The sequence below is a fragment of the Homo sapiens genome, chromosome 6 (genome assembly GCF_000001405.40).
Source record: "Homo sapiens chromosome 6, GRCh38.p14 Primary Assembly".
Lineage (NCBI taxonomy): Eukaryota > Metazoa > Chordata > Mammalia > Primates > Hominidae > Homo > Homo sapiens.
The window spans coordinates 621,605-633,742 of record NC_000006.12 but is presented as its reverse complement, the minus strand read 5'-3'; the positions used below and the strand labels follow the sequence as shown (position 1 = coordinate 633,742).

Here is a 12,138-nt window from a genome sequence, read left to right as displayed (position 1 = left end):
GGGCAGGAGGAACTACTATGCCAGCAGCTGACACACCGATGTAAAAGTGAGATGGTAATCCAGTAATGCCTGAGCACACTTCACTAGATTACCTGACTCTTGGTTATGCTTAAATAAAAAACCTACTTTAGTTCATTCTGTAATGCCATGTATAAGTGAACACTAGAAAAAGCACGTGAAGATTTGTCTCAGGAAGATGGGTGAATGTAGAATGTTTTTAGAAAATGATACATACGTTTATTAATACACTTTAAAATTCTATGTTAATAACTGAGACTTCAAATAATAGCAGTAGTTTCCCTTTTATTACCTCTGAAAGCATTTTAAGATTCTCGTAATCTAAGTAATCTGGAATTCCTGCAACATAGTTGTTGTGGTGTTCGTTTTCTAATTCTACGGATGTTTGAAGAAACTCAAATGTAGCCTAAAAGAAGTCTTAAATATTGGAGAAAAAAACAGGTAAGAGGAAAAGTCAATAGAGATAACAGTATATCTGCAAATAATATTGGGTATATTCAATAATGTCATTATTGAACAAGACTAGATTTAAAAAATGTAATCTACACGATTAAGGTCTTATTGTTCTTGTCTTTGAATTTTGTTATGCACATGCGTTTATTTTCAGGCTTGACCATTTGTGGACATAATTGCCTCCTGACGGCAGAATGGATGTCTGCAAGTAAAATAGTATGTCGAGTGGGACAAGCCAAAAATGACAAAGGAGACATTATTGTCACCACTAAGTCAGGTGGCAGAGGAACCTCAACAGTCTCTTTCAAGCTACTCAAACCTGAGAAAATAGGTAAAGTCTTTCATGGGTTTATTCTAAAGAAGAAAGTAAAAATGAGTTTGTCTTTTAAGCTGTAAAGCTGGTAGATTCGTGTAAAACCTACCTACTTGCATATCTCAACTTAGATTTAGTTTATGTTTATTTTGACAGGATTGGGATGTTGGTTAATATTTGTGTTACTTTCGGGAAGGCAGTGTGCTGAGGTAACAGTCAGTGAAGCCTAAGGATGACGGTCGTATGAGAACTACTCTTCTCAGTTCTTAAAATCTGTTCGTTCACTTGATATACCAGTTTTGGTTCCTTGATCTTGAATATAATGACATTGCTTTAAACTCTTAAACAAGGTTTGAGGTGAAAAATCCTGATTTGGCCAAATTAGTAATAATATATCTAAATAATATTCCCTTTTCCTTCATTTTATCCATCCTTCAAGGCCCAGATGATACATTTCCTAGCTTGGCTGCTTTTAACGCCCCTGTTAGTAATACTCACTCTTCTTTGAACCACATAGCACTTTGTTTTCCTTCTTTATGCGCTGACCACTTGCTGCCTTCCGTTAGCAGTGTTAGGAACTTGCTGCCTTACGTTAGCAGCGTTAGGAACTTGGTCTGAGAAGTCATGCTCTTTGAATTCTAACCTGGACTCTCTTACCATGACTGAGTATGTAACTTTAATACCTTCTTTATCCATGAGCAAAAGTGGAATATATTGGCTACCTCATAGGATTGGGTGAGTTAGAACATAAATGTAAAGTGCTTAGCATAGTCCCTTACCCAGCAAATTAATAATTTCTGATGATCTTTCTTGTAGCTATTTCTGTGCATGTCTCTTTCCCTTTTTAGAATAAGAGTAATGTCAGATTCATCTTTGTGGTCCTGTAATGTCTTGCACCTGGTCAGCATTTGATAAATATTTGTATAATGTAGGAATATCAGAGGCGTAATTAAACCCAGCCAGTACTTCTCTTTATAAAGAAAATAAATAATTTTGCAAATTGTTTTTTTAATCTTAGAGCATAGAGGCTTTCTGCAGCATTGTTCTCCACAAATTCCTAGATTATTTTTATAAATAAAAATTCAAGGAATTTCAGGGAAAATTCAGAGTGGACTTTATATATGTACATGTACGTGCATGTGTACATATATACATATATAACATTTCTATTTTTGTTTACTCTTTTTATTTAGTGTCTTCAAAAACTAAACTGAAACTAAAGCAGGAACTTGTTGTACAGTTTTCTAGAGGGACTTAAACATTTTGATAAAAATCTAATATCTTATGATCTATTTATATAGCAGATAAAGAAAACTTAGGCAAAAGTGGTAATTTTATTATTCTGGAATACTCATTCCAGGACCTAGCACATAGTAGGCTTAGTAAAGGTTTCTTTTTTTTTTTCTTTTTGTTTTGAGACAGAGTCTTGCTCTGTCGCCCATGCTGGAGTGCAATGGCGCGATCTCAATCTTGGCTTACTGCAACCTCCGCCTCCCAGGTTCAAGCAATTCTCCTGCCTCAGCCTCTGCAGTAGCCGGGATTACAGGTGCGTGCCACCATGCCCAGCTAATTTTTGTATTTTTAGTAGAGATGGGGTTTCACCATGTTGGTCAGGCTGGTCTCGAACTCCGGACCTTGTGATTCGCCCACCTCGGCCTCCCAAAGTGCTGGGATTACAGGTGTGAGCTACTGCACCCGGCCAGTAAAGCTTTCTTGAACTGAACTCAAGAGTGCCTGGACTTGAGCAGAAGCCCCTGTTGCATGCTGGCAGAACCACGAGTGCTGAGAGAATGAGTGGGTTCATAGAGGGCCTTGCAGCTACAGGTTGCCTGGTATTCAGACAGCCTTCTCCCATGAAGCCTTCTGATCCTCGCCTGGGGAGGCAGGCACGCTTTGTCTGTGCTCCCTGGCACTTGGCTCTTTTTCTGTTGCAGCCCAGGGCCTTGGAGGCCTAGCTGGTAAGCCCTGTGCTAGGTTGAATGATAACGGAGTTCAGTCCCATAAAGGAAGATGCTGTTTTTAGAGCTTATGTTGTCTTGTTCACAGGGTCCACACCCAGTCAGTTTTCCCTGAATAACCTGGTTATTTCCATTATACAAGCCATGCGTTCCTTGAAAGGTGTTTGATTTAATCGTTAGATATTTTATTGAATTTACCAAATTGATTTCAGCCTAATACGGAAAAAAATCCCTGCTGTTTCTACCATCTAGGACATTTCCAGCACTGATAACAGCAAAAAGAATGAGAAATAGCAAGTAGCATATTATTTTTGCATAACTATTCATGAAAACATGCCAGAGTTTGTAGAGGAAAAGAAAATAAAAGATATTTCTTGAGAGCTTTCAAGAACCATTTAAAAAACATTTGGTTTTCATTTGTAGTGAAATGTCCTTAGGTAGCTTATGGAACCCAGAAGCAGAAACTCACAGTATTAAATATAAAATCATATATGCATAATGGTTTTTCGGCATTTATCATAAACCAGAAGCTTTCCACTGAGCTAACATTTTACTCGAATGTTTTGTGCTTGGATATTTCCCAGACATTTTCCAAGAGTTTACATGATTTCAGAATATTCTCTTGAATAAACAGATATTATAGGTCATATTATTTCATCTTACTGACTTTCTGAATTTTTTGTGCAGATTTAATCAGCTACATTTAACAATGTTTAATTGTAGTGTTTATTATTTGTAAAATATGTTTGTTATTGCAAAACTTTGTCTAAGCAGCTTAATTTGTCTTCTCTGTTGAGTAATGTACAATGAAACCATAAGCTGAGAGGTGTAATTTTTGCCTTTTTATAAATTTTTTTAGTGCTTATAATTAAACTACTAGTCATTTTTTAAAAATTTAGCTGTTATGTCCTCAAATCTCTTAAAGATTATCCAACAGGCATTTTGTATTAGGTCTTTAAGAAGTCAGACAATAGGCCAGACGTAGAAGGTGCCTGGGGTAGGCTTCATCTTATTAAGCATATGCTCCTCATTTCTGTAGGCATTTTGGATCAGTCTGCTGTGTGGGTTGATGAAATGAATTATTATGATATGCGCACTGACAGGAACAAAGGAATTCCGCCCTTGTCCTTACGTCCTGCTAACCCGCTTGGCATTGAGATTGAAAAGTGAGTACCATCTTGCTTTCAGTCTTCTTTATTTTTCAGTTCCTGAAAAGTTTTATATACTTACAGGAAAGGGACTCAAACTCCAGAAACATCCCAGGAAACACAGTTGAAGACACCTCAGTTGTTTGGAGATGGGTGTTATTTATGAAGCCTTGTTAGCTATGCTGCAAGTAAACTTTGCAGTTAGTTAAAACTTGTGGCTAAAACTACTTTTACCTCTTCAGTTTTTTGATTTTGCATTTTGTGAAAAAGAAAAGTCTTTAGTATGTTGTCTAGAGATGGTTAAGTTTAAATAGGTAGATGGCACCTGAAGTCAAAATAGCATACATAATCTGTTTTTTTGATTTTTCTAGAAGTATTTTAGAATAGCCAGGTCTAATCTGGTCTTTAATTTTGTCTATAATGTCTACTCATTCTTGCTTAATCCAGACTTATTTAACTTTAATCATCAGAATTCTGCCAGGTAAATGATATCTTTCAAGATGCCTTATAACTGAATCTAGAGTTTTTTTCTGAATTCCTAGTACAGTGTTTTAGTAACTTTTATAATTAGTGCCTTTCTACTTAAACAATTCACCTAATGTGTTAATCGCAGCTAATTTATCTTCTGGCCTTAGTGCTTCTGCTTATGGAATTGTATACTGAGTATTGCTCTGTAAACTCTTACCAAAAGTGACAAATTAGCACTGTTAATACTTTAACCATGGTTTTAGTTTAGGGTTTTCTAGGAATGGGGAAAATTCTCCAATAATCTCTCTATATATAATCTTCAAGCCTACTCTTGAAGATCATTAGTTTCATTTTCACCTGCTGGGGTTTGCCCCTGGCTGAGGGGAAGTAGCATGTTTGTCTTGGGAAAGTAGCACGTGTTGAAAAAGTCTGGGGCTTAGCAGCTTCACGTGAGCTTTGACTGTTCTAGGTAACATCTTTGAAACATTTTTGCAGTATGGGTCATTCTAGAGCCGTTTAAGGATTCCAGTGCCTCCAAAATTAAGAGTTCAAAGATTGAGAAGGTTTAGAAAATAATGGTAACAGTTGGGTATTTATTTGAGCACAGTTTTAAGCATGAATAGACTTGCAGTTGATAGTAAGCCCCTTATGGGTGCTTCAAGGCTCTGGAAAGCCAGTCTCTTTCCAACCTGCCTGAGAAGTGTGGAGCAGGAGGCCCTCTGAGCTGCTCTTCATAACCAAGAGCCAGTTTTATACATGGGCAAAAGGAATATGGAGATATACAAAATATATTTAGTATGAGACTTGGACAAAATTATCAGTTAGGGTTCATTCAGACGTTTACTATCATAAACGTGATTTCTTCAACTTCTGTTTTGGTGTTTACCCCCACCCCTGTTCTCTCTACCTCCCCACACCTTCTCAGCCTTTGAATCTCTTTATTATTCCTGTTGCTGCTGCCCACAGTGTGGTTTGGCCTGAACTGCGTCTAACAGCAGTGTTCCTAATAAGTGTCAGGTTAATTATTTGATGAGATTGGTAATGGCAGTGAAGAATAATGGCACTGAAAGTACTTAGCTTTCTTAAAATGTTCTTTTCTTCTCTGAGAGGTAGTTTGATTTTGTGTGGGGCAAAACTCTCTCAATTTGAACTTGGGCTGTGCCACTTACTAGCAATATGACATTGAGTAAGTTACTTAGATTCCTTTTGCCTCAGTTTCCTCAGGTGTACAATGCAGTACCTGTTCCTTAGGGTCGATGCGAGGAATCAGGAAGTGAGGAGGTAAACAACTTGGAGCATAGCAAGTGCCTCACAAGTGTTCATCCTTACAGGATTCTTTGCTCTTCTTGGATATATACTATTCATTGTTCTGCCACATAGGAAAAGTTTTTGTTTAATGACTTAAGATTCCAGGGTACTAAAGTGTTTTAAAATTTTAAAATAACATTATGTACATTTATCCAATAAGTACTTCAGTGGGAATAAAATTAACAGATTTTGATGTTACTGTACAGATTGTTACTTAAGTTTCAGAAATATTTGCTCAGCCATGGGATAAAGTAAAATATTAAAGGATAATTTTTGAAAAAGGGAAAATCATGATTCTTATACAAATATAAAATAAATAGATGTCAGAGCTTTTATTTAACTCATAATTAAGGAAAGAACCAATAAGATGTTAAATCCAGCCCAAAGGAAAGTCCAGAGGGGAGACATACGCAATGAGAAATGCCGAAAGATGCAAGACCGTCACTCCGTCTCGGAGGAGCCAGTGGTATCCTCACCTGATGTGCATTTCTGTGGACAGGAATCCCTGGCATCGCCATTAGCCCTCCACAAGCCAGCTCTGTCTTTCTAATAGAGACTCAGAATAGCCAATGATCAGAGAAAGGCGCGGATCCTGTAGCATCAGGGAACACGGGGAGGGCCCTTTAGGCCGTGAACAGACATCCAGTCATCCTTCTGTCCGTCTGAAAGTGTTTGGCAAAAGACTTTCAAAAGAAAGAGAGGCTAGATGTAGAGATTCCAGGAAGCAAGAAAATGAAAGATGAAAGTAAGAATAGGTGTAGAAACCAAGAGAAGATAATGCTTTTGGCCAGAAAAATGCTTTTCCAGGCTTCTTTTTTTTTTTTTTTTTTTTTGGATACTGTCAAGAAAGCTGTGTTTATCTTACTGAATTCTTTGACCTCTGTTAGATAAATCTTGTTTTAGAGAAAGATAAAAGGAAGGAAAGGCAGACTGTAGAATGTTGATGTGGGTTTTATTTTGCTGATTTACTTACTATTTTTCAGATGAAGGCTTTGGTAGAGGATGGTATTGTACTCAGGTCAGGATCCCTACTGTCTTTTAGTTCTGTTTATTAATGTCATTTGGGGCTTTTAAAAAAATAATTAAAAACCTAGAGAGCACCTACTTTTTGAAAATGTCAGTATTGAAGGAATAATAGGGTTTTAGTATTATTTGTTTGTGGAAACATACTTAAAAAAGTTTGCGGCCGGGCGTGGTGGCTCACGCCTGTAATCCCAGCACTTTGAGAGGCCGAGGCGGGCGGATCACTTGAGGTCAGGAGTTTGAGACCAGCCTGGCCAACGTGGTGAAACCCCGTCTCTACTAAAAATACAAAAAATTAGCTGGGCGTGGTGGCAGGCGCATGTAATCTCAGCTACTTGGGAGGCTGAGGCAGGAGAATCACTTGAACTCAGGAGGTGGAAGTTGCAGTGAGCAGAGGTCGGGTCACTGCACTTCAACCTGGGTGACAGAGTGAGAGTCTGTCTCAAAAAAAAAAAGGTTTGAAGAATTTGTGAGTGCTGTGGTCCTAGTGAGTTATCAGATTGCAGTGGGGAGGCAGCCTTCAGGAGAGAAGTCAGTTTGTGGTGATAAATTCTCGACAGCTGACGGTCTAGCGTGCACACTGGGAACGTGAGGGGCCCTGCGTGTGGTGTCCGGTTCAGCTGAAGATGGCAAAGCCAGTGAGAGTAACACAGTACGGTTGCCTTGTGGCTCTTTGGGGTGAGTCAGAGTTTAATAAATATTTTACCGGTGGACCCAGGCTGCATGCTTTTTTCTTTCAGCCTGCAAGTTTAACAACGTGGCATTTGTTGGCTGTCTTTGACTGTTAAGACCCTTCATATTCCTAAATTTTTAACTGATGTTTTTGCACACAGAGTGTCATGATACTTATAAAAATGTTACTAATTGCTCAGAAAAAATAACTTCACTTTGAATTGAGACTAGGATTTGCTTGTAAAAAGTCTATATTTCTGCTTTACGATGGCAGTTGTCACAAATATATGTGGTCTTTGCATGACTTCAGTTGTAATGCTGACAAACTATTTAAACCAAAAAGGAAGGTAAAAACAGGTTCATGTTAAGTAAGAACCTTTGCTAGGCTTTGTTTCTTGAAATCAATACTCAATTGCCTAACAAGAGGGTATTTATGGGTAATGTGTAGGAGACGGTCTGTATATGGGCGCAGGGGCAGAAATCAGGAGCTTTGTACTGTTTTTATATGATCTCAACTGTTTTTGTGACTTATTACCTGGGAATGGCTGTCTAGAAGAGTCAGTTGTTGCACCACTAGTGTCTGTTTTATTTCTACATGGGTGTTATGGGCGATGCAAACCTGATTTTCTTCGAATCGGCCTGGCTTCAAACAGAAAGAAAAGACCAATTTCAATTTTCCCACCACATTTAGAAGACTGTATTTTAAAAGAGGAAAACTGACGGCAAATTAATTCTTAATATGAGTGCAGAAGAAAAGAGCCTTAGGTGACTTTACCTTTAGAACTTGTGTAAAAATAGATGGGCAATGAGAACGCCTTCAAGTCCAGAAACTGGGTCAGACAAAAAAAAAAAAAAAAAAAAAAGAACGGAAACAAACTTATAATACGTAATACAACAGAGTGTAAACAATGTTGGTAAAAATTGAAAGCTACGAGAGATATGTGTAGCATGCACACAAAGAACTAGCAATGCCCACTTTCACTGTTGGCCTCCCCCCTCCGTCTTCCATCCGCCAAATCAAGAAAGTGTGTTCTCTTTGCCGCAAGCGCGGAATAACACCGCTGCAGCCAGGCCTCACTGTGTGTGGGGTGGCTGGGGCTGTCTCAGAAGGAGGCCCATTGATTTGCATGCTGCATGGGTCATTGCTGCAGAGAGTCCTCATACTGGAAAGCAAGTGCTGAAGTGTGAAGAACGTGCCTGTTTGTGTCTCTTCGCTCAGTCCACAGGCCTGTGTCTTCTCCTGGCTTGGGGCTAGCTGTTTTTTAGAAGGTTTAAATCTGACCTTACACTGCCATCTAATGGAAAACATATCTGTTCAGGGTGGCAGGAATTGTCCGTGACTGAAACTGTGTGTTTCGATTCCTCGATGAAAACATTTCGTGAGTTTACACAGTAGGGTCTCTGTCACTTTCAGTCCTAACTCTGTGCTAGTGGATTTAAAATGCAGGCTTGGTTTGAAGTACTCAGAGCGTATGTTGCTTTTTCTGATGTGTCTGAGCCGGGACTTCACTTGGAAATGTAGAATCCGAAATCCAGTTATTCTGAACAAACGTAAGAGTTTTTACTCCGTGCTTCATTAGCTGTGTTGATATACTACCTCTTCCTTTCCTGTTACTGTTATTAAGGGCATTAGCAATTCTCTTCATTTGAAAGCAGCTCCCCTTTCGCACTCTCCTGCATTGTCATCTTTACGGATTTGTAGTTGTGATCGTATTTCCCACCTAAAACCCTCTGGTTCTCTGTTTGACAGTAGAAGTACCAGGTTCAAATCTCGACTGTTTACATATAACCTCTCAGAGGCCATTTCCTCATCTGGAACATGGAAATATTTAACTCAGTTATTGTCATGGGAATCAAATAATACTTAGGAAATTAGTCTGTAAGATATAAATAAGTATAAATAATAAAAATAATAGCAAATAACATTTTTGAGCATTTATCATGTGTCAGAAACTGCTAGGCTTCCACAAGCATTATCTACTCTGATCTTCAAAACATTCCTAAGAGGAAGGTATGGTGATCCATTCATAATGGAATAACTTCTCGAGATTATACAGGTGGATTGAGCAAACATCGAGATTGAACCCAGAGCCTGTGCTCTTAGCCACTGCTTATTACTGCTGCTTCCCGTTGGGAATACTGAGATGAGCCACCTGTACTTTTGCAGCTGTGTTACCCATGGAGCTTCATGGACTCTGGCATTGGTATTCATTTTTTGTTTTTTCTAACTCATTTATTTCACATTTTTGAGGTGTTTGCATAAAAGATCAGTATATTTAGGCATATATTTTGCAATAGAATATGGAATCAGGATGCCTTCACCTGCAATTAAGATTGATTTAAACAAAAATAAAATCTACTTTTTCATAATATACAATATTCATTGATGGCAGACTCCAAAGGTTGGTTGAGTCAGTCATGTCACCAAGATGTGAGGAGCCTGGGTTTGCTGGCTGTTCTGTTGCCCTTAGCATAAAACACATTTCCTTAGCAATTGTGGTTGAAACTGGACATAATGATGTTCTCAGGCAGAAAGATGGTGTCTCTTCTTGGTTTCCCTTCTTGAAAGTATGGAGACCTTTCCCAGATGTGCTCCAACAGACCTTCCTCCGACATCACTGTTCAAAAACAAGTTTATCCAATCAAGAGCAGGGGGAATATGACAAGCGCGGTTGGCTTATGGTGGTTGATCTCTCCCCAGTTAAGGGGCAATTGGGGGGCTGTGTTTCAGCAGAGAGGGTCCAGGGTGATTGGTGGGTCATAGCCAACAGTGTCCACTAGAAACAGGCTCTGTGTGTCCGGGCAAGGTTAGTCCTGGCCTTAATGGTGTGATTTGGGGAAGATTATTTGACATCTGTGTTAGAATTTCACCATCTTGAAAATAATGTCTGTCTTGTTCTTGTAAGGCTGATTTCTGCTATAAGTCTCAATACATGTCTTCCAATTAAGATCAGTGAAAGAGTTTTAATGTCTTCAGTAAGAACTCTCAGAATAATCAGCTCCGTCTTAGGGGAGGTGGTATTTTGACCAAGAGATGTAGTGCTTTTCAAATTGTACCTGGCCCAGTTCAGGGGCCTGAAGGAACGACGCATCCGGGTAGGGGTGCTGGCGGGTGGGTGGGGCTCGAATCTCAGAATCCAGCTCCAGGGGCTTGGGCCTCCCTGCTCACTCCAATGCAGAAGCCAAGTCTCAGGCTCTGCCACCCGTGTCCTCCCAGCGGCCTGTGGTGCACGGGATGTTCATGGCTGAAGAGCTGGGAGTGCAGGGCCAGTGGGGACCTCACCAGACCCACTGCTTTCTGGCCAGGGGCCCCACTGCTAGGGACTGGCTAGACCCATCCCTGCTCCTTCTGAGGATGAGGGAGGGAGGGACTCCTGGGGGTAGGAGAGTTTCTTAAAATCTTAACAGTCCCTCTCCTGGAGCCCTCCACTAGACATCAGGCCTTTATGTTATGATATAACTGAGAGCAGTTTAGATTTGTAAAAATAACAATTTAGTAATGCATTGTAAGTGAGATGTTACCAGAGTTTAAGTATCAGGGGAATTTTAAAAATGGAGTACAGAATGGAAAGCTCTGAGCTGCTGGTTTACATTGTTCAGTACCATCAGTACCACCAATTTAAGCATTGTAACTGTTTAGGACAGAGCCTTTTCTGTATGTGCTGTGTACATTCTGTTTTTTAAAACATTTTTTATTTTGGCTAAACACGTGGAGTATGACGTAGCTGCCAGACCCATGGGGACTGTGTGTTCTTAGCCGTTTCTCCAGGGCATGCAGCTGCTGTATTTTTGAGTTTTGTGTCTGCATTTTATACTTTCTTGCGTTACTTGCTACCATTGTGTCACAGATCCTTTCTTCACATCATCAGCTCTTAACGCTAGCAACTGCCGTTCATTCCCTGTTCGATTATGGGCAGAGAAACACCGAGGCACAGCGCAGCACCATGGGCGTGGGGGAGGGGCACAGAAGCTGTTTGACTTCTCAGCCTTCTTTCGTTTCTTTTTTCTCAGCTGTGTCCTTAGGTTACTTGGACTTGATCCCTGCTGGATGAGGATGTCTTGTACTTAAATCAGGTGTGAAGACTGTTGTTAGTAGGAACTTAGTTGATACCAGTAGCGCATTTTGATTCTGTTCAGACCATTTAACTCTCTGACCAAGTGAAGTGTGAGACACCACATTGAATGGCCGTGTCTAGAAGGAAGGTCGACAGAAACATGGTCTGCAGCCACCATGACTTCTGCCCGCGATGACACGCCTTACTAATTGGTCATGTCATTCTTTCTAGCTGAGTTGAGACAAAGCCCGTGATCCCTCACACAGTGCTCCAGGCAGATGCTGCCTGCCGGTTAGAGCAGGACTGCAGAAGGAGGCACTTCTGGGTCACTTAGCCGGGGTTCAGCATGTCACAGCTTAGCCTAAGCCTCCACTCAGTCTCTATATTCCCCCAAAGCTCTAACTTGGAGGCATGGGGTGCAGATAAATAAAGTGAGAAAAACTTCCAAAGGTGAAAGGATTTTCTTACTAAGTAAAGTATGAGAACCAGCATGAAGAATCCAAACCAAAATAAACTTCTAAAAACTCAAAGTTCTCCACCTCCCTCCCAGAGACTGCTGACCGGTGAAAAGGACCAGCAAGTAATGAATGCCACATGCATGTATCGGGAGGATTCAGACTATAAATCTTTTAACTCGTGAAGCTAGTGAGAAAAGATGCACGATCGACTCAGTCTCGGTGGAAGTGGTGCCACCTCCCAAAATCTCATCTGTCTTCTTTTCT

The 12,138-nt window shown here is 40.1% G+C and overlaps 1 protein-coding gene across 18 annotated transcripts in view; it reads left to right on the top strand.

Annotated features, from left to right (window-relative positions):
• Window positions 1–12,138, top strand: part of EXOC2 (exocyst complex component 2) — a 207,986-nt gene that overhangs the window by 59,397 nt on the left and 136,451 nt on the right. For all 18 annotated transcript variants that reach the window (NR_073064.2, XM_017011022.2, XM_017011023.2 and 15 more), the window contains 2 exons: window positions 626–802; window positions 3,782–3,908. Coding sequence is in view for 17 of the 18 variants with exons in the window: in XM_017011022.2 (XP_016866511.1) it covers window positions 626–802; window positions 3,782–3,908 (304 nt within the window). In the remaining variant the exon portion in view is untranslated. The remainder of the gene's footprint in view (window positions 1–625; window positions 803–3,781; window positions 3,909–12,138) is intronic.